Raw genomic sequence first — 23406 nt, 5'->3', positions numbered from 1 at the left:
TTTTCTTTTCAACACTTTAAATATTGTAACTCCATTTTTTTAGCTTGTAAGATTTTTGACATAAAGTCTGCTGTAATTCTTATCTATATGTAATGTGTCTTTTCTTTCTAGCTGCCTTCAAGATTTTCCCCTGCAGTTTAATTATAATATCGTAGGTGTTCTTTGGGGCATTTATCGTGCTTGGTAAACTTGAATTTCTTGGATTTGTGTGAGTGTTTGTCAGGATGAGGAGAGATTCTGTCATCAGTTTAAAAAATTATTGGCCATGACTATTTCAAATATTTTTTCTTCCCCAATCTTTCTTTCCTATATTTCTGGGATTTTAATCATTCATATGTTAAACCACTTGATCTTGTTCCACAGCTCTTTAATGCTCTGTTATGCTTTTTTTTCCACTCTCTATTTTTCATTGTATTTTAGTTTGGATAGCTTCAATTGTTCTATCTTCAACTTCTATTTTTTTCTTCCACAGTCTCAGGTCTATGAGACTGTCAAAGACATTATGGTATTTTCCATTTCTATAGTTTCCATTGGATTTTTTTCTTATAGTTTTAATCTCTCTGGTGAAAATACCCAAGTAATATGATTCCTCCAGTTTTGTTCTTTTTGATCAGGATAGCTTTGGATATTGTGGGTCTTTCATAGTTCCATATAAATACAAGAATTGTGTTTTCTATTTCTGTGAAGAATGTCATTGGTGTTTTGGTAGGGACTGCATTGAATCTGTAGATTGCTTTAGGTAGTATGGACATTTTACAGAATTATTCCAATCCATGAACAAGGAACATCTTTCCATTTTTTGTGTGTGTCATCTTCAATTTCTTGCATTAATGTTTTATAATTTTCATTATAGAGATTTTTAACTTCTTTGGTTAATTCCTTGATATTTCACTATAATTGTAGCTATAATAAATGGGATTATTTTCCTGATTTTTTTTTCAGATTGTTCACTGCTGGCATATAGAAATGCTATAATTTTTGTGTCTTGATTTTGTATCCTGCAACTTTACTCAATTTTTTTATCATCCTAATAGTTTGTTGGTAGAGTCTTTAGATTTTTCCAAATATAAGATTATGTAATCTGCAAACATGGAGAATTTGACTTCTTCCTTTCCAATATGGGTGCCCTTTCTTTCTTTCTCTTTTCTGATTGCTCTAGCTGGGACTTCCAGTCCTATATTGAATAACAGTGGTGAAAGTGAGCATCCTAGTCATGTTCCAGACCTTAGAGGAAAGATTTTCAGTTTTTCCCCATTTAATGTGATATTGTGGGTCTGTCATATATGACTTTTATTGTGAAGTGTGTTCCTTCCATCCTCAGTTTTTTGAGAATTTTTATCATGAAAGGATGGTGAATTTTATCAAATGCTTTTTCAGTATCAATTGAAATAATCACATGGTTTTTGTCCTTCATTCTGTTGCATCAATGTTAATCAGAGATATTGGCCTATAGTTTTTTTTTTTTTTTTTTTTTTAGGTTTCTGTGTCTGGTTTTGGTATCAAGGTTAAACTGGCTTCATAAAATCATTTGGGAAGTGTTTTCTCCTCCTCTATTTTTTGGAATAGTTTGAGTAGAATAGTATTAGTTGCTTTTTAAGTGGTTGATAAAACTCAGCAGTGAGGCCATCAGGTCCTGGGCTTTTCTTTGCTGGGAGAATTTTTATTACAGATTCACTCTCATTACTTGTTATTGTTCTATTCGGGTTTTGGATTTCTTCATGGTTCAATCTTGGTAGGTTACATGTATCTAGGGACATATCCATTTCTTCTAGGTTTTCCAATTTATTGTCATATAATTGTTCATAGTAGTCTCTAATGAGTCTTTGAATTTCTGCAATATCAGTTGAAATGTCTGCTTTGTTATCTCTGATTTTATTTATTTGGGTCTTCTCTCTTTGTTTCTTAGTCTAGCTGAAGGTTTGTTGATTTTGTTTATCTTTTCAAAAAAGTAATGCTTTGTTTCATTGACATTTTGTATTGTTTTCTTCATTTCAATTTTATTTATTTCTGCTCTGTGGTTTATTTGAAATTTTTCTACTTTTTGGATGTAGGTACTTATAGCTATAAACTGCCCTCTTAGTACTGTTTTGGCTATAACCCACAGATTTTGGTACATCGTATTTTCTTTCTTTCTTTTTTTTTTTTTTTTTTTTTTGAGACAGAGTTTAGCTCTTGTTGCCCAGGCTGGAGTGCAATGGTGCGATCTCCGCTCACTGCAATCTCTGCCTCCCGGGTTCAAGCTATTCTCCTGCCTCAGCCTCCTGAGTAGCTCGGATTACAAGTATGGGCCACCATGCCCAGCTAATTTTTTTGTATTTTTAGTAAAGACAGGGTTTCTCCATGTTAGTCAGGTTGGTCTTGAACTCCCAATCTCAGGTGATCCGCCTGCCTCGGCCTCCCAAAGTGCTAGGATTACAGGCGTGAGCCACCATGCCTGGCTCACATTATCATTTTTGAAGAATTTTTAAAATTCCCTTCATAATTTCATCATTGGCTCGCTAGTGATTTATAAGTATATTGTTTAATTTCCGTGTATTTTTATAGTTTCCAAAATTTTTCTTGCTATTGATGTCTATCTTTATTACATTGTGGTCAGAAAAGATACTTGATATTATTTCAGCTTTTTTTGAATATTTTAAGACTTGTTTTGTGACTTAACATATGGCTTATCTTTGTGAATAATCCGTGTGCTGAGGAGAATGTGTATTCTGAGCCACTGGATGAAACGTTTTATAAATATTTATGAGGCCAATTTGGTCTATAGTGCAGATTAAGCCTGATATTTCTTTGTGGAATTTTTTCTGGATAATCTGCCCAAAAAAAAAAAGTGAGGTGTTGAAGTCTCCAGCTATTGTTGTATTAGGGTCTATCTCACTCTGTTTAACTTAATAATATTTGCTTTACATATCTGGGTGCTCCAGTGTTGGGTGCATATATATTTAAAATTGTTAGGCCCTCTTGCTGAATTTACCCCTTTATTATTATATAATGACCTTCGTTGCCTTTTTTATAATTTGTATCTTGAAATCTGTTTTGTCTGATATAAGTAAAGCTACTCCGGCTGTGATTTTAAATTTCCATTTGCAGGGAATATCTTTTTCCATCCCTTTATTTTAAATCTATTTGTGTCTTCATAGTTGAAGTGTGTTTCTTATAGGGAACATTATTGGGTCTTGCTTTTTTTTTTTTATTTTATTTTATCCAGTCAGCCACTCTGAGTCTTTTGATTGGAGAGTTTAGTCCATTTATATCCAATGTTATTATTGATAAGTAAGGACTTATTCCTGTTATTTTGTTATTTGCTTTTTGGTTGTTTTGTGGTCCTCTCTTCTTTCTTTTCTGCCTTCTTGTCTTTCTTTTAGTGAAGATAATTTTCTCTAGTTGTATGTTTTCATTTCTTGCTTTTTATTTTTTTGTGTGTGTTCATTGGATGTTTTTTGATTTGAGGTTACCATGGAGTTTGTAAATAATACCTGGTAATCCACTATTTTAACTGATGACAAGTTAACACTAATTGTATAAACAAACTAACAAATAAGCAAAGAGAAAACAAATAGAAACTCTACTTTTAACATTGTCCCCCTGCTTTTTAACTTTTGCTTCTATTTATGTCTTATTGTACTGTGTCTTAAAAAGTTGTTATAGTTATTATTTTTGATCAGTTCATCTTTTAGTCTTTCTGCTTAACATATGAGCAGTTTACACACCACAATTACAGTGTTATAGTTGTCTTTGTTTTTCTGTGTACTTACTATTACCAGCGAGTTTTATTCTCTTTATTTTTATTTTCTTAAGACATGATCTTGCTCTATTACTCAGGCCAATGTCCTGAATTCAGGAGCTCTTCCTGCCTCAGTCTCTTATATAGTTGTGACTACAGGCATGCATTACGAAACCCACCTGATTTTTTAATTTGTGTAGAGATTAGGTTTTGCCATGTTGCCCAGCTGTTCTTGAAATCCTGGGCTCAAGCAATTCTCCTGTCTTCTTCTCCCAAAATGCTGGGATTACAGACATGAGTCACAGAGCCTGGCCACCAGTGAGTTTTATACCTTCAGAAAATTTCTTATTGCTTGTTAGCATCCATTTCTTTCAGCTTAAAGAACTCTCTTTAGCATTTCTTATAGGACAGGTCTGGTGTTGATGAGATCCCTCAGCTTTTGTTTGTCTGAGAAAGTTTTTATTTCTCTTTCATGGTTGAAGGATATTTTCTACAGGTAATCTGTTCTAGAATAAAAGTATTTTTTTCTTCCACACTTTAAGTATGTCATGTTACTCTATCATGACCTACAAGTTTTCCATTGAGAAGTCTGCTGCCAGATGTATTGGACCTCCATTATATGTTATTTGTTTCTTTTCTCTTGCTGCTTTTAGAGTCCTTTCTTTATCCTTGACCTTTGGGAATTTGATTCTTAAATGTTTTGAGGCAGTCTTCTTTCGGTTAAATCTGCTCTTTTTCTAGGTTTGGGAAGTTCTCTGTTATTACCCCTTTAAATAAACTTTCTACTCCTAGCTCTCTCTCTATCTCCTCTTTAGGTCTATAACTCTTCAATTTGCCCATTTGAGGCTATTTATTAGATTTTGTAGATGTGTGTCATTCTTTTTTATTCTTTGTCTCCACTGACTGTATTTTCGAATAGCCTGTCTATGAGCTTACTAATTCTTTCTTCTGCTTGATTAATTCTGTTTTTAAAATACTCTGATGCATTCTTCAATATGTCAATTGCATGATTCAACTCCAGAGTTTCTGCTTGATTCTTTTTAATTATTTCAGTCTCTTTATTAATCTGATAAGATTCTGAATTCCTTCTCTTTCATTTTATTGAGTTTCATCCAAACAGCTATTTTTGAATTTTATGTCTGAGAGGTCACATATCTCTGTCTTTCTGGGATTCGCTCCTGGTGGCTTAGTTTTTTTGATGAGGTCATGTTATACCTAGATGATCTTGATGCTTGTGGATGTTCATCAGTGTGTGAGCATTCAAAAGTTAAGTATTTATTCTAGTCTTCACAGTCTGGGCTTGTCTGTACCATTCTTTCTTGGGAATACTTTTGAGGTATTAGAAGGGACTTGGGTGTTGTGATCTGTGTTTGGTCACTGCAGCCATATCTTTATTAGAGAGCATCCCTTGTCCAGTAACATTGTGGCTCTTGCAGACTCATAGAGGTACTGCCCGTGTGATCCTAGATAAGATCTGCAAGAATTCTCTGGATTACCAGGCAGAAACTCTTGTTCCCTCCCCTTAATTTCTCACAAACGAATGAACTCTCTCTCTTTGTGCTGAGCTACCTGGATCTGGGGGGGGGTTGACATGAGCACTCCCATGGCCACCACCACTGAGACTGCACTGAATCAGACCTAAAGCTAGCATAGCACTGGGTCTTGCCCAAGGCCCATTGTAACCACTACCTGGCTACCACCTATGTTCACTCAAGGCCCTAGGTCTCTACAATCAGCAGGTGGTGATAGCAGCCAGGCTTGTGTCCCTCCTTTCTGAGCAGTGAGTTCCTAGTGGCCCAAGGCAGGTCCAGAGATGCTGTCCGGGACCCAGGGCCTGGAGTTGGAAACCTGAGGAATTTACCTGGTGCTCTATTCTACTGCAGCTGAGATAGCACCAAATCCACAAGACAATGCCCTTCCTACTCTTCTCTCCCCTTTTCATAAGCAGAGGCATCTCTTCCTGTGGCCACCACTACCAAAGGCCTGAAAGGAGTACTGCCAGGCTACCTCCAATGTCTACTCAACACCCAAGGGCTCCTTGGTGAGCTTGTGGTGAATGCTGCCTGGCCTGGACCCATACTTCAGGGCAGTGGACACCCATCTGGACCAGGGCAAGTCCAGGAATGCCATCCAAGAGCTAAGGCCTGGAATCAGAGATCCCAAGACCCCACTAGATGCTCCACCCTATTGTGGCCAAGCTGGTACCTAAGCTGCAATACAAAGTTCCCTTACTCTTCCCTCTGCTTTTCTCAAACAGAATGTGTCTCTCCCCATAGCTACCACAGCTGGGAATGTGCTGGGTCACACCTGAACTAGCATGTCTCAGAATCTCACCTAAGGCCCATGGCATGTACTACCTATCAACCACTGCTGATTATTCAGAGGCCAAGGGCTCTTTAGTCAGCAGGTGATGAATCCTGCCAGGACTGGGTCATTCTTTTTAAATGAGCAGGTTCTCTTCTGGACCAAGGTAGGTCTAGAAATGTCTTCTGGGTGCTGGGGTCTGGAATGGGTGCCTCAGGACTCTGCCCAGTGCCCTATTCTACTGTGGCTATGTTGCTATCCACATTGCAAGACAAGGCCATCTTAACTCTTCCCTCTCCTCTCCTCGAGTGGAAGGAAGGAGTCTCTTTCAGAGCTGTGAGCTGTGCTTCCTGGATTTAGGGGATGGGTGGTACAAGTACTCCTTTGGCTGCCCTGGCTGGTGTCTTACTAGGTCACATGGCCCCTAAGTCCACTGGCTCTAAGCCCGGCATGGCACTAGAACTTGTCTAGGAGTTGCAGTCTTTGTGGACTAAACTGCCTTTCAAGTTTATTTCAAACTGCAGAGCACTTTACCCTGTGGTGGCAAGGCCTGCTGAAACTCAAGTTCCATCTGCTGGAATGGATGATTCCCTTCTGGCTAGGGCTGGTCTAAATCCTCTCTCTGTTGGTATCAGCTAAGTTCTGCCTAGTGTTGCTTCCTGCTGTGACAGGACAGCACTGTTTCAATGCAAAGTCCCACAATCATTGCTTTCCTTACCCCAAGGCCATGGATTCTCTGTGCCATGTGGCCACTGCTGGAGGATCATGTAGGAGTGATACTGGCAATACATGTCTGTCATTTTACCCTCTTCAGTGCCTCTTCCAATGATATGAAATTAAAACCAAGTTCTGTAATCACTTACCTGATTTTGGGTTCTTATGAAGGTGCTTTTTTTTGTGTGTAGGTAGTTGTTAGATTTGGTGTTTCTGTGGAGGAAGATCAGTGGAAGCTTGTATTCATCCATCTTGCTCTGCCCCCTCTGGTGTTATATTTTTAATGCATTATTCCTCTTTTGCTGTGCATGCATGCTCTAGTTTACCCCAGTTTACAACATTTCTTATTGTATAATACTCTACCACTTCACATTATCCTGTTACAGATTGGACTCTGGAAGTGTGTAAACTTTTGGCTCGTGCTTAAGTAGTTTAGAGACCTTTAATACTGATTCTAAGGAAGCGATATTGAAATTGGTTTATCAGATATCATCTAGTTTAGCCTTAATAGTTGTGGTTATAAGAAACACTTTTGCAAAGCTTATTGCAATTTTTTTTTTTGAGATAGAGTCTGGCTCTGTCATACATGCTGGAATGTGGAATGAGTGGCACAATCTCTGCTCACTGCAAACTCCGTCTCCCAGGTTCAAGCAATGCTCCTGCCTCAGCCTCCCAAGTAGCTGGGATTACTGGCGTGCACCGCCATGCCCAGCTAATGTTTTTGTATTTTTAGTAGAGATGATGTTTCACCATGTTGGCCAGGCTGGTCTCAAATTCCTGATCTCAAGGGATCCACCCTCCTTGGCCTCCCAAAGTGCTGGGATTACAGGCGTGAGCCACCGCACTCAGTCCAAAATCTCTTTTATTTGACTTCTACAGTTAAAATTCTCATTACTTGAAATGCCACTGTATTGAATTTATGTTTTCAGAGGGCCCAATTAAAACATAAATGTATTTATTAGAATGAGGGACACTTCAATCACTTATCATTAAAAGAGTAGAAGGGAAGTTCCAGAGGGGTTAGAACCCAGTACAGGTAGATTTTGATATCTAGAGTATATTTGAGATGGAAATGGAATATCTTGCATAGTGGAAGGGGTTATCTGGTGTGTAGATGACTGCACAAGATGCAATAAATATATTTATGTTGGGAGGGTGTGGGGAAGAAAGAAAATAAGTGTCTAAAAAGGAATGACAATGGAAGAAGTTTCACAGTGGGTTTGGGAGTGAGGGAAGTAATTATAAAACAAACAAAATCAGCTTACTTAATGGGTTTTTCTTGGGGTCAGAACTAAATTATACTCTCAGTTAATCTCAATGTTTCTATATTGAGGGTGTGGAAATTCTCAGAGAGTCTTTTAAAAATCAAAGAACAGAAGTTTAAGATGCTACAAATTAACTCTATTTCCCACAATTGTTCTTTAGTAACTTAAAATTCTAGGCTGTAAAATTTCTAGATCATCTTCAAATTTCTCACTTTTGTAAGTAGTATCTCACTGTTTAGACCAACTATTGGGCTACTATATTTGTCATTCATTTTTATTTCTCTAGGGAGAAAAGATTTCATGGCTTTAAATCTTTTTCTCTTAGTTAATGGCTTTCTCAACAAATTGAAAAGGATACACTCTTCCAAAAGCAGAGGAATACAAAAACACAATGTCACTTTGGATTCCAGGTGGCCAGGAGCATTTTTTCTCACCAAGCATCATTGCATATATTAACAACCAAAAATGCAGAGTAATAAAATACAATTTTCACCACTACATTTTTGTATGTTTTACACATGTTATCATTATGCTGCTGAAGCAGGCTGGGGGCAGCAGAGAAGGGCAGAATAGAGCACTTTACAACTTCCAAAGAATTCCTGCAGTATGTTCACTCATTAAATAATTCCAGGTTATGAGGAAAATATGAAATTATTAATATTTTAACAGATGAAGATGTTCCAGTTGAGTAAGTGACTTGCCCAAGGTCACACCATTGGTAACTAATTGATACTGAATTCTAGGATCCTGAGTCTTATGTTAACCCAATATCCTTTCTGAATAACTTTTTGGAGAAAGAGATGAATCTGACAAAACTGTCGGGTTGCATGAGGTTGAAAGCCACAGATACTGCCCAAGATCCTCCTGTAAACAAATCCAAGCCAGAATTTCACTTTTGCTTTAGTTATTAATTTTTTATAGCATAGATTCATTCTCAGTTATTTTCTTAAGCCAAGTAAATGTCAAAAGAAAATCAACATCCACCTGCTCAAAACCCTCAGCAGCTGCCAAACTCCATGGCATATAGTACAAATAGTTTGGTCTGACTCACTCAAGGGCCTGGAAACTCCTTCCATTTATCTCTGCCTGCGGACATTTTACCAGTTCTTTTGGGCCTGCTTCTTCCATGAAACCTCTAGTTCCCCCCAACCGCATATGATCCCTTTTTCTCTTGAACTTCCATTGGAGTTTATTTGATTTTTTTGTTGGATATAATTCTTCCCATGTGCCTTCCCACTAAATATATAAAATGAGAGTAGAAAAATGCTAAAGAGAAATCAGAAATTAAACTGAATCAGGGAGGAGGAGTTAAGACTTAGCCATTCATACATTCATTCAAAAATATGTATGGAGCTCCAATAACACACTGTGGAGACACTGGGATGCAGCAGTAAACAAAGAAATCCCCTGTCCCCATGGCTGGTGAGTATTTATAAAATTTTTCTTTCTGTTGAACTCTGAAATTTATTGCAGTGTCTCATTTGGTTTGTACTACTCTTTTGATGAATAACGTCAACTCTATATAAGCTATATTCAATATGACTGTACTCATGAATAAACAAGGATTATATTTTACTTGCCTTTTAACAAATTTAGAACCCAATTTAGTGATTATATGTAAATGGACATTCAAATGATCATTGATTCAAGTATGACATTTCAGTGTGACAAGGATTACAGATTCTGGTGAATGTCAGTAGGGTTAAAGCAGGTGAGGTAAAAGAGAGAAGCATCTTTGACACACTGCAGAGTGCTTGCTCCAGCTACATAGGGAGGCTGGCACTGAGCTCTAGGTGTTGTAGCCTCTCAGGAATGCTGGTTCAGAGAAGATAGTGATAAAGGCCTGAACCAGAAAATTACATTATTTGAGTTTGAGTCCCACCGCCAAAGTTACTAGATAGAAGACTTTAGGAAAGCCCTTAACTCTTCTGTGCTACAGTACTAGTAATTCATCATAGAGATGTTTAATGAGTAAATGTGGTAATTATTTGTAATAATTGCAGTGTATTAGTAAGGTTTCTCCAAAAAACAGAACCAATAGGATGCATATATAAATAGATTTATTGTAAAGTATTGGCTCCCACAGTGATCAAGGCTGAGAAGTCTTATGATCTGCCATCTGCCAGCTGAAGACCCAGGAAGGTCACTGGTTGATTTTGAGGGCCTGAGGTCTGGGGATAGTTGATGGTGTAGATTCTAGTCTTCATCTGAAGGCCTGAGAAAGGAACCTCTAAGGGCCGGAGAAGATCAATGACCCAGTTCAAACAATAAGACAGACAGAAGCTGACTCCTCCCTTCTTCCACTTTTTTTTTTTTTTTTGTCTTTTCTGTTCAGGCTCTGAATGGGTTGGATGATGCCCTCCCATATTGCGGTGGCCAATATGCTTTACTCAGTCTACAGATTCAAATGCTAATCTCTTCTGGAAACAAACTCACAGACACACTCAAAAATAATGTTTAACTAGATATCTGGACATCCGGTGCTCAAGGCAAGTTGACATATAAAACTATCACAAGCAATTACAACAGTGCCTAGCATGTACTACATGTAAACTAAAATAAGCAATTTCTAATTTTTCAGTAGAAATCATAAACCCAAATATTTATATAAAATTCCAAAGTTTATGTGTTGATAACTTTGTCAAAATTTTAATTACAATTTTGTATTTTAAGACAATTAAAACACATCTGTGACCATCATTTGCAATCTCTTGTAGTATGTGAGCCTTATATTTTTTAAACATTTGTATTGGTATATAACAGTTTACTTATTTTGGAGGTATATGGGATATTTTGATACTTGTATACAATACGTAATGTTCACATTAGGATAATTTGTTTATTTGTCCCTTCGAACGTTTAACTTTTCTTTGTGTTGGGAACTTTATGAATCTCTTCTAGTTGTTTTGAAATATACAAAAAATTAATGTTAACAATAGTTTCCCTACTGTGCTATCAAATACAAGAACTTACTTTTTCTATCTAACTATGTTTTGTATCACTTAACCAATATCTTTTTATTGTTTTCTCCCCACTTCCCTTCTCAGCCTCTGGTAACCAGCATTTATGCTCTCTACTTCTGTGAGATCCACTTTTTTAGCTTCCACTTATGAGTAAGAACATGTGATATTTGTTATTGTGTGCCTGGTGTATTTCACTTCAAATAATGGCCTCCAGTTCCATCCATGTTGCTTCAAAGAGTAGAATTTTATGATTTTATATGGCTGAATAATATTCTATTGTGTATGTGTACCACATTTTTTATCCATGCATCCACTGATGGACACTTAAGCTGATTCTATATCTTGGCTATTGTGAATAGTAATGAAATAAACATGAGAATGCAGATATCTCTTTGATATGCTGATTTCCTTTCTTTTGGATATAAACCCAACAGTGGAATTGCAAGATTATAAGGTAGTTATATTTTTAGTTTTTTTGAGGACCCTCCATATTGTTTTCCATACTAACTCTACTACTTTATATTCCCATCAAACAGGGTACTACTTTACATTCTCTCCAACAAGGTACCTTTTTCTGCCTCCTCATCAGCATTTGTTATTTTTTATCTTTTTCATAATAGCCATTCTAATTGGGGTGAGATGATAGCTCATTGTGGTTTTGATTTGCATTTTCCTAATCATTAATGATGTTGAGCCTTTTTTCATATACCTGTTGGCCATTTGTATGTCTTTTTGAGAAATAACTATTCAGCTCTTTTGACCATTTTTAAATCATGGCATTTGCTTTTTTGCTATTGAATTGTTTGAGTTCCTTATATATTCTGCTTATTAATCTCTTGGCAGATGGAGAGTTTACAAATATTTTTCCCATGCTTCAGGTTATCTCTTCTCTTTGTTAAATGCTCCCTTTGCCAGGTAGAAGTTCTTTAGTTTGATGTAATCCCATTTGTCTGTTTTTGTTTTTGTCACCTGTGATTTTGAGGTATTACCAAAAAAATCTTTGCTCAAACTGATGTCCTGTAGCATTTCCCCAATGTTTTCTTTAAGTAATTTCAAATTTTCAGGTCTATTTATATTTAAGTTTTTAATCAATTTTGAATGTATTTTTGTATATGGTGAACGATAGTAATCTAGTTTCATTCTTCTGCCTGTAGGTATCCAGTTTTCCCAGCATCATTTATTAAACAGACTATCCTTTCCCCAGTGTATGTTCTTGCCATCTTTGTAAAAAATGAGTTGGCTCTAAGTGTGTGGATTTATTCCTAGGGTTTCTCTTCCATTCCATTGGTCCATGTGTCTGTTTTTATGCAAGTGCCATGCTGCTTTGATTATTATAGCTTTCTACTGTAATTTGAAATAAAGTAGCGTGATGCCTTCTGGGTTTTGCTCAGGATTGCTTTGGATTTTGGGAGTCTTTTATGGTTCTATACGCATTTAAGGATTGCTTTTTCTATTTCTGTGAATAATGTCTTTGGTATTTTGATACAGATTGCATTCAATCTGTAGATCACTTTGGGCACTATAGACATTTTAATAATATTAATTTTTTCAATCATGAACATAGAATAGCTTTCCATTTTCTTGAGATTTCTTCACATTCTTTCATTAGCGTTTTATAGTTTTCCTTATAGAAATCTTTGACTTCTTTGGCATAATTTATTCCTAGCTATTTTAGGTTTAGGGTTTTTTTTTCAAGCTGTTTTAAATGGGGTTGATTTGACTTCTTGTATTTGTATTTGGATGCCCTTTACTTCTTTCTCTTGCCTAATTACTCTAGCTAGGACGACCAGTATTATGTTGAAAAGAAGTGATAAAAGTGGCATCTCTGACTTGTTTCTTCACTTTGTGTCTTCACTTTGTTGATTGCTTCCTTTACTATGCAGAAGCTCTTTAGCTTGATGTAATCAGATTTGTCTACTTTTGCTTTTGTTGCCTGTGATTTTGAGAATCACAGATTTTATTGGAAAGAACTTCAGTATTTCCCCATTTAGTATGATATTAGCTGTGGACTTGTCTTATATGGGTGCTTATTGTGCTGACACATATCCCTTTCATACCCAATTGGTTGAGAGTTTTTATCATGAGGAGATGTTGAATTTTATCAAATGCTATTTCAACATCTATTGAAATGATTATATGGTTTTTGTCCTTTTATTTTGTTGATATGAAGTATCACATTGTTTGATTTGCATATGTGGAACCATCCTCTTATATCCCTGAGATGAATCCGACCCAATAATGGAGAATGATCTTTTTAATGTGTTGTATTTGGTTTGCTAGTATTTTACTGAGGGCTTTTGCATTTATGTTTATGAGGCCTGGAGTTTTCTATTTTTTTATTGTGTCCTCATCTCATTTTGGTATCAGGGTAATGCTGGCCCCCACATAATAATTTGGAAGTGTTCCCTTCTCTTCAATTTTTAAAAATAGCTTAAGTAGAATTGGTATTAGTTCTTTTTTGAATGTTTGGTATAATTCAGCATTAAATCCATCAGATCTTGGGCTTTTATTTATTTATTTATTTTTGGCTTTAATCTTGTTACTAGTTTTCAGTCTGTTCAGGTTTTCTGTTTCTTCATGGTTTAACCCTTTTTAAATTTTTTAAAAAAAATTTTGTAGTCACATAGTAGGTGCATATGTTTATGGGATACATAAAATGTTTTCACACAAGCATGGATTGTGTAATAATCACATCATGTAAAATGGGGTATTCATCCCCTCAAGCATTTATGCTCTGTGTTACAAACAATCCAATTATACTATTTTAGTTTTTTAAAAATGTATGATTAAATTCTTATTGACTATATTCACCCTGTTGTGCTATCAAATACCAGGTCTTACTCATTTTTCCTATTTTTTTTTGTGCTCAGTAACCAACCCCCACTCTCCTCCTTCGTGGCTTAATCTTACTAGGCTCTATGTGTCCTGGAACTTATCCATTTCTTCTGGTTTTCCCAATTTGTTGGCATATAGTTGTTCATAATAATCTCCAATGATTTTTATATATCTGTGGTATCGATTGTAATGTTTCCTTTTTCATCTGCATTTTATTTATTTGGCCTTTCTCTCTTCTTGCTTAGTCTAGCTAAACGTTTGTTGATTTATTTGAATACTGGGGCTACTATAGTCAATAAAACCAAAGAATTCCTTGCTCCTATGGTTCATTCATTCTAACGGTGGTGGTATGTGAAGGGGGAATGAAGAAGTTATGGGTAGCATGATAGGAAACAAAAAAATGAGTAATTTGTTTGGCAGTGATAGGTTCTGTGGTGAAAATCCATTATGGTAAGTAGAGAAGTACATCTGGAGTAGGATGGAGTGAGGTAGACTATTTCACACAGACTGATTAGAGAAGACCTCTCTGAAATATGCTAGTTGGATGTACAGGTCTGGAGTTTAGAGGATAGGTCAGGAATTGGGATATGCCTTTGGAATTATCAGTGATTGGAATTTAAAATCATGATGTTGTATAAGATTACTACAGAAATAAGAGTAAATGAGAAGCTGAGGACAGAGCTCTGGGGCACTCTACATTTAGAGGATAATAAATTGATGAGGATCCATCAAAGAAGAATAAGGAATAGCCAGTCAGTGTCAGGAGGGAGGCCAAGTAAAGGATATGTTTTTAAAAGGACCACCCCAGCAAATGCTTTTGACAAACAGTAATTGAGAACTGACAATGATCATTGAGTTTGGCAATGTGGAAATCTTCAGTAATCTTGACAAGGGCAATTTTAGAAGAGTGGTGGAGACAGAAGCATGAATGGAGTGGGTTCAACAAAAAATGAGAGGAGAGGAGAGAAGGCTGAGAGTGATTTTGACAATTATTTCAAGTTTGCTGTAAAAAGAATGGAGAAATGAGGCAATAGCTGGAGAGGAATATAGGGACAATGAAGTTGGTGTTTGTTTTTGTTTTTGTTGGCTGGTTTTTAAAGATGGAATATATTTTAACATGTTTATCTGTTGATAGGAATGACCTGGTAGAGGAAAATATTTTGTCAGTGCAAGAAAGAGAAGGGTCAGTGTCAATTGCAGAAGGCAAGTCCTCGAGGGGAGAGAAAGGGATTTAGTGAACAGATGGAACAGGATCCAGTGAACTTCAGGTTTAAAAAGAGAGCATTCATCAATTTAAAAGAAGTAAGAAGAATATATGGGTGTAGTGAAAGCATATGAATTATTCTCGTTTGCTTTTATTTTCTGCGTGAAATAAGAAACAAAGTCATGTCCTTCTTGCATATCATTTCCTGAACCTGTGGCTTACCTACCTCTGTCCTCTGTGCCTTTGATTATACTATTCTTTTTTTTTTGAAATGGAGTTTTGCTCCTGTTGCCCAGGCTGGAGCGCAATGGCGCAGTCTTGGCTCACTGCAACCTCCACCTCCTGGGTTCAAGTGATTCTCCTATCTCAGCCTCCCTAGCAGCTGGGATTACATGTGCCCGCCACCACGCATGGCTAATTTTGTATTTTTAGTAGAGACGGGGTTTCACAATGTTGGTCAGGCTAGTCTCAAACTCCTGACCTCAGATGACCCACCTGCCTCAGCCTCCCAAAGTGCTGGGATTACAGGAGTGAGCCACTGTGCTGGGCCCCTTAAAACACACATCCTCTGAAAGTTTCCTAATCCTGCAATCAGCAAAGGCTTATTTCATTCACCTTCGGCCTGCTATAGTACATGTAATCAGTGGCAACTGCAGTGCATTTATGACATACTATCTTTTGCCTTTTAGCTTCATGGGTGTTATCCATTTTCATTAGACATATGTACTTGAGCACTGCGGGGTGAAAATCCTTTTTATTCTCCCTCGTAGCTAGCCAAGGAGAGAGCAGTTAGCTAGGTGGCAGTAGTAGTAGTAGTTGTATTAGGTGGGTGAAAAAGTAATTGCAGTTTTTGTAAAATAGCAGCAGCAATGGTAGTAGTAGGTTCTTGTAGTAGTAATAGTTAGGTTGTTAAGTAGCTAATAGATAATTAGCCAGAAATAGTGGGGATAACTACTAGATAGTAGGTCACTACGGAAATAAGAGCTAGTATTTTGAAAATATTTGTGATCTTGGATTTTAGTTATTGAAGAAACAAAACATAGATGGTGTTACATAGGTATATGAATTTTGACTTTTGTTCTTGATTATGTCTTCTTAATTTTAAAAATATGCTTATATGTTATTTGTTGTTACCCCTGCTGCAAGATTCTTTTGTGTTATCAAGTGTGTTATATTACTTGATTCTGGATTTTTGCCATGTTTTTTAATTTTTAGGTCTTTTAAAAATTTTTCCTTCCTTTATATAGTTATGAAAAATCCTCAAAATTTCTGTTCTCTTCTAATCCAACAAAAAAAAGCTGAAAACTCAAGTCAGAGACCACATTTACTATTTCTGTTATCTTTACTAAAACTATATTAACACACAATTCCAGAAGTGTTTATTCCAGGAGTTTAGTAAGAATGTCTCTGCTTTTACATTTTGTGCTCTCTAAAGGAGAGGATATGAAGACATAGAATTCTGTTGCTGAGTGTCAAGTATAAGTAAGCTATAAAGATTTAGCAAGCACATATAATGCATACACAGGATGTAACTTTAGATTATTTTAAAAGAAAAGATAATGAAAACCATAATTACTTTAAAATATTGAATTAAATTGAAACGGTTCCCAAAATATTATATGTGTATAATAATGGAAAGATTAACAAATCTATAAATGAAACACCATGAGATCATTTTTATTAATATTTTATAAAATTTTGAAAATATACTGGAATATTTGTTTTACAAATTTATTTGTATGTGGTAGAACCATGGTGCTTCAGAAAATAAATACAAAAAACAGAATCCTAATGTAGCTTCAATTTTTGTTTTCTTTGTAAATGGCAGCTCATTTAAGCCTACCTGTAGAAGCTATTTAATATGGAAACTTCCACGGAAAGATAGATAGATAGACAGATAGACAGATAGATAAGCAACATCCAGTAAAAGTGACTTTTTGGTGCATAGTTCTACGAATTTTAAAAAATTTATAGATTAATGCGTCTTCAACCAGAATCAGGATACAGAGCAATTCTATCACTGCTCAACAAAAAATATTCTTTATGCTTCCCTTTGTATGCACACACTGAAACCACACCAGCTCTTGGCTCCAGCTAGTCTTTTCTCCATTTGCCTCTTGTCAAATACATTTTACTTAGTGTTTCCCACAAGGGGTCCCAGCACTCCAGGGAAATCCCAGAACTCTCTTATTGTCTGGGTGAAGATAGTAACATTAATCATATTCTGTGGATAGCCTCTGAGAACGTACCGAAATAGATAAAGGAGATTAAGATTGTGTCGTGACTCACTCTCTCTGGGCACAAGCATGTATGGCGAGGCAAAATAGGACAGAATAACCAACTATTAACACTATTTCCTTTCTCTTTCCTGAAGATACCTGTAGCCATATTCCCATCTGACTTCTAACTCAAACTGCATTGACGAATGTGAAGACCTCCGTGGACAGCAAGGACTGACAGTCTAAATGAGCAATGATGCTGCTCTTATCACAAAACAGGACCGACTCAAGTAGGGTATAAGAGATCAAACTGATTTCCCTTCTTTCCTTGGAAGGATGTTAAAAATTTGAGCTCCAGGAAGACATAGCTGACCTGGGAATGCTGTTTTGGACGAAGAGAGGAATTTGTACTTCCTCCCTGGGGTAGGTGAAGAAGGGAAAGGAAGAAAATATAAATATGTCCCTTGAAAAATGTGGCATTTCTGAGAGATGTGAAAACAGATTTGCCATGTTTGGGATGCAGTTTAAGAGTAGAAACCTCCGAGATACCATATACCATGAGGCTTGGGGAAAAAACAGAAATGATACATTTTGACGAAAGGAGGGCCCAGCTCTACCTGAGATTCCCTGTGGCTGGGGAGTGGCAATGAAGAGGTCTGTACTCTTCCCAAGGCTCCATGGTAAGCTGTGGAAAGTAACTTGGAGCATGAGCTGATGATCATGGCCAGAGGCTACCTGGCCAAAAACAGGTCATAGATCAAGGAGATGCACATTACTGTGATGTATGTGGACCTTTATAAGTGAGATGCTGGCTGGTATCTCCTGCACACTGTACTGGTGATGACTGTGTCACCTGTGGGAGCCAGCACCATCCAGCACTGTGCCACAAAATAATGAAAGTAGACAGAATCTCACCCTCCCTGCCACGAATGAATGGACTTCTCCTCTCTAGACTTGCATATCTTCCAGAGGAAGAAGTAGGAAGCTGAATTAAAATTTGAATTAAATTTTGACTGAATTAGTAATTCTGATAAAAGACTGATTGGACTAAATTTAGCCCCAATACTATATTTCTGGAGACAGGACAAGAGTTCTATTTCTTCGCACTCAAGTTGGTGTCTATAGAATTCAAACCTGTTACATAAATTTAGAATCAGAAGGAGTGGCTTTGTGTCCTAGAAACCATCTTTAGGGACAATATATGGCTGGAGTTCTGCCACTGATTCACACGAAATTCCTACTGATGCACAAGAAGTCATTATTGCATGATCCCTGATGGCTGAGGCTGTCTCATGATCATATTTCTAAGATTCCATTTAAAATGAGTACGAATTCCAGCTCAACTTTAAAGTATAATTTATCTGTTAAATAAAAATCTGTTTGTATACATCTTGAGGGTTAAATTGCTCATGAAACTTGTATTCCTGAGGAGTGTGTAAAGGCCGAGGAAAGAGCCAAGACAAAGAGATGATTTGTATCTGTACATCTGCCTGTTTGTTCCACAGGGAAGTGCCACCAAGTAGGCCTTACGTTCATGGGCGCCTGGACGGGGCTTTTAAAAGTTCACAACAAAATCCAGAACACTTGTGGGTTTCCCCAACCTGAACCTTAGCTTTGAAAGAGTTTGCTGAGTTGCTGACACTCTCAAGATCCTGTTTCAAACTTAAGAGAGAAAGAATCACCCAGGGAGCTTGTTAAACATGACGATTCTGATGCAGCTGCCCTGAGAGTCTGCATTTTTTAATAAGCATGAACCACAACTTGAGTAAAGACACAATAGAAGATTTGGTTAACGAAGTCCATGTGCCCAGCTTGAACTTCCTTGATCTGAAGACTTCTCAGCATGGGACCCCAATTACTGTCACTTTTCTGTGCTGATGCACACTCAGTGATCCCGGCAGGCTCTCCTGCTCCCTACCCTAGGGCTTAATCAGCACAATTAATCACTTGTATTCCTTTGGAAGTTCTTCACTCATTTGTCAAGATACCCGTATATTGACACAACTGAAATACCGCCCTCAAAATAGGCAAGCTGTGGTTTGGCATCCTGGTACACACCTGCCCTCTGGTGGTGAGAGAGTAACTCCAAGCTATAGGGAAATAAAAGATCCTTTCCCTTCTGCTCTTTATCATGGTGAACAAGATGAAACTCGGTGTCTGGCCAGTGTACAGTAAAGAAAGGTGCATTTTAAAGGCATAGTCTACAAAGATGAGAAAATCCTGGGAGCAAATTCTGTTGCCAAACTATGACTAGGTGCCTTACATGGCAGCACATTGGAGAGTGATTGAGGGATTCATCCCACCAAACCTCTGATGCAGACGACACAGACCTGCAGGTTTCCCGGAGGTGAGGTTCTTCAGCGTGGGTTTGATGTCAGCTCCTCTGAAGCCAAACTCCTTCCTGACACAGAGGCGTTGGAGCTTCCTGGGACTGACATCTAATTTAGGGATAATCTAAGGCAAAGTTAGAGAAATCAGATCCTGTACTCTGGAACATTGTCATAAGGGAAAGACATTCTATCCATAACACTTACTAAGAAAGAGTAATTAACTCATACATATTCTTAATCATAGAGTCTATCACTTAATATTTTACCTTATAAAGAAGCCCCACAAGCCTAAATTACAAAATGGTACAAGCATATGGCATTCAGATTTACTGGGATTCTGAGCATAACTGTGTTTGCCCTTGTTAAAGCAGGGTCTTTTTGTACTCACTTGGAGACTGGGGCTGAGTGTACGTATAGCTATGGGTCGAAGGAGAGGAGACGCACTTCCGTTGTCTTCATCAACAGCTGGACCATATCAAGCCCCCACTACAGCCATGAGAAAATAAAAACTTTAGCAGAAAGAATAGTCAGAATAGGTTTAGTAGATCTAAGCTCTCATTGCAATTTGATTCTGACAAGTCTTTTGATGTCCCTGAGCCTCAATCTCTTCTTGTAAAATACGGCTTTTACACTTATCTCTCAAGATTATAGTTGAGATGAAATGAGCTTGTAGAAGGGGTAGGGTTTTAAAAATTATGCAGTGTAGAAGCTACAACTATTTCTGTTGAATTCTTAATAAGGCCAGGATGGAAATGTTCAGGTGGGTGGGCAGCAGGCATAGGGCCCTATGGGACACTGCTGTCCATGGGCATCCACTGGACTTGTTAAAGGAAAAATTGTTTACGACACATGTTAAAGGCAGTGAAGAAGACTTTATTCAAGGGAGGCTTCTGCAGTGGGGTTTTATAGTAGAGGAGAGAGATCAGTCTCCACTCTGAATATGATAAGGAAAAGTGGAGACTTATAGCTAAGGGGAACAGTCAGGCTTTGATGGATGGAATATTACTAAGAGTAGGGTAATATTTTGCTAAACTGACCTAACAGGATTTTTACTGAAGGAAGGCCAGGGTGATAAGATATCGTATAGAGGGTAGTCAGATTTACTGTAAACTGACTTAGCAAGATTTTTGCCAAAAGTGGAATAAGCCAACCATGGACACAACCCAAGATCCAGAGCCTAGTCAGAGAGACACTCGGGGGAGCCTAACTAGCATTAGATCAAGGACAGAGTCTTTGTCAAGAATCTTCCTGAATAACTTGGAAAACAGCTGTAAAAGCTGTACATTTATATGTTCATGATAAGCAAAATAAAACTTTTTTCCTGGGTTTGCAATTCTTGAAAGTGGTTTCTGATCATTATATTAAAAAAAAAAGAAAACTTTTGCAGCAGGAACAATAAAATTATTCTATTAAGTATTGATTAGAAATGTTTCAGCCTTTAAAATAATGTATTTTTAAGAAAGAAACTTAGTTAACTGCTGTTTCATTTATATTTACTGATATACTTTTGAATCTGGCCTAACCATTGTTTTATTATTCAAATAATTATCTAAACAATATTTCCCAACTTTGAAACTAATTCTAATGTGAGAGATTTTAGCGCTTATTTCATAGCTGAGAAAAACCCACCAGTTTAATTAGCATAAGAAGAATTACTACCTTTTCTTTGTCAGGAACTTAAAAACGGCGTACAGGATAAGCAAAACTGTGTAAGCCTTGAATCTTTTTCCTTCTTGCTAAAGAAATCTAGTCAGAGAATATTTTATACTGAAAAAAGAATTTCTTTATTTAAAAGATACAATATTTATTTCAATTTTTTATTTTGAAAGAGAGCCTTTTGGCCAGGCGCGGTGGCTCACGCCCGTAATCCCAGCACTTTGGGAGGCCGAGGGGGATGGATCACGAGGTCAGGAGATTGAGACCATCCTGGCTAACAAGGTGAAACCCTGTCTCTACTAAAAATACAAAAAATTAGCCGGGCGTGGTGGCGGGCGCCTGTAGTCCCAGCTACACGGAAGGCTGAGGCAGGAGAATGGCGTGAACCCGGGAGGCGGAGCTTGCAGTGAGCTGAGATCCTGCCACTGAACTCCAGCCTGGGAGACAGAGCTTTTGCATTTAGATTTTATTTATGTATATATGCATATATTTTAAATACAGACACACAATTGTTTATATAGTCCATATAGTTCTATATACTCTGCATCTTTTCAGTAAGTATAAGGCATTGAGGAAAGACAGAGCACCGTGTATTTAAGGCAGAAAGTAAGAGGCAGGAAAGGGCAGATTATAAAATGGAGCCAGGAATGCGGGAAGGGCTCAAAATACACACAAGGAAGTCCTATCCACTCCCTTTCCTACAGTCTGCAAAACGAGGGAAACTGGATGAGGTACATGAGTTACAGTGTCTATAAAATGAAAGCAGAACTGCTCTGGTAGAAATCTGGGTTCGGTTTCTGAAGTCGTTCACTTTGGTTGAATATTCTCACCTTACGTTAGGCAAGAGCCTGGACTAAGTGATTATTTGGAAGAAACCAAAAAAGTTGTCTTTCCTCTAAAGTGTATATTCTCTTAGACTCTGTGGGTTTGGAAGTAGAAATCCAGAGGTGTTGAGATTTAAGGGCCCTAATTACAGTTTTAAAAATTATTTCTCAGATATAATAAAATTATATTTATTCAATTATATGAGGGGAGAACTTAAGACCTGTGTTAAGCAATGGGTACAGATACCATTTAATAATTCAACATTATTAAAATTTAATTTTAGTAAAAAATTACTAAAAAATAATATTTAAAGACACCCTCAATACAGAGAGCTACAAATGTAGAAATTCAGGCGATCATACCAACTCTGAAACAAGCAGTAAGTTGTTTAATATTCCTAAAACTTTAACCCATTTGAAGAGATTAGAAATGGGGCAATTTCCAGGCATTCCTCTAGCTTTTAGCTTTAGCATAAGATGTGCCTCAGAGTCAAGAGTTGATGCTGAGGGTTACAGCTCTGCCTTCAAGTGTCAGTATGACTCAAGGCCAATCATATTTCTTTTCTTGAAAGATGAGAGGGTATCAAAATTAGTGGTTGCAGGAGCTGTGAGTCATGCCATCACACTGATTGTAATTACAGAGGCATATCCCTTTGGTAAAATGCTTTTTCATGAGTTGAGGGCAGGCCTAGTAAATATCACCACCAGATGGCAGTAGTGCACTCTGGAGAAACGTATCCAGGACGCTCCCTTTTCTGTTTTCCACTCACTAAACTCTCCACTAGGTGACAGCAGCATGAATATAATTGGAACGGCCATTAATGGATTATGTTAAAAAAAAAACTTTAATCCTCCTGTTGAGTCTGGGAGGAGCACTTTTAAAAAGTATGCACAGTTGGAATTTTTTTTGAAAGAAAATTTAATATACCATTTGCTTTTAGGCCTCCCACACACTCACCTAATATACAAAAACAAAGCAAAAATACAAAAGATACCTTTTCTTGGCGGGGGCGGGGGGGGGGGTGTGGGGCGGTATACAAAAACCTGGGGAAGATTATTGTTGAAACTAAATTATTATAACTTAAGAACTGGTGGAGCCAGGTGTTCTCACCCCAATTTAGGTTAAAAGTTACTAAAATAGTCAGTGTTAAAGATAATAATAATTATTATTTATTGACTACCCGTTATTTGCCAAGGATTGCATTTAAATATTTTAGAGACACTTTTTCATTGAATCTGGATGAGAGCTTCTCAAGAAAGCCGATTTCAACATAAGCCTGTTTAGGGCCATCGCCTCTGCATTTTCCATGACTTTATGCTCTTTCTGCTCCATTTTCACAAAAATCTGTACTGTAGAAGGCAAAATTGGAA

The 23406-nt window shown here is 37.2% G+C and overlaps 3 annotated features.

Moving 5' to 3' along the window:
- Positions 18764 to 19317: an enhancer, noted in NCBI's record as "OCT4-NANOG hESC enhancer chr5:129107197-129107750 (GRCh37/hg19 assembly coordinates)". NCBI's record gives its function as "activates a minimal SCP1, AML or CMV promoter by ChIP-STARR-seq in naive H9 embryonic stem cells {active_cell/tissue: H9 hESC(naive)}" and the evidence as "EXISTENCE:reporter gene assay evidence [ECO:0000049][PMID:30033119]".
- Positions 22568 to 23069: an enhancer, noted in NCBI's record as "NANOG hESC enhancer chr5:129103445-129103946 (GRCh37/hg19 assembly coordinates)". NCBI's record gives its function as "activates a minimal SCP1, AML or CMV promoter by ChIP-STARR-seq in naive H9 embryonic stem cells {active_cell/tissue: H9 hESC(naive)}" and the evidence as "EXISTENCE:reporter gene assay evidence [ECO:0000049][PMID:30033119]".
- Positions 22638 to 22697: an enhancer, noted in NCBI's record as "active region_23039". NCBI's record gives its function as "activates an Ori minimal core promoter by ATAC-STARR-seq in GM12878 lymphoblastoid cells {active_cell/tissue: GM12878}" and the evidence as "EXISTENCE:reporter gene assay evidence [ECO:0000049][PMID:35858748]".

This window comes from Homo sapiens, chromosome 5 (genome assembly GCF_000001405.40).
Source record: "Homo sapiens chromosome 5, GRCh38.p14 Primary Assembly".
NCBI lineage: Eukaryota > Metazoa > Chordata > Mammalia > Primates > Hominidae > Homo > Homo sapiens.
This window is presented reverse-complemented; position numbering and strand designations above follow the sequence as displayed.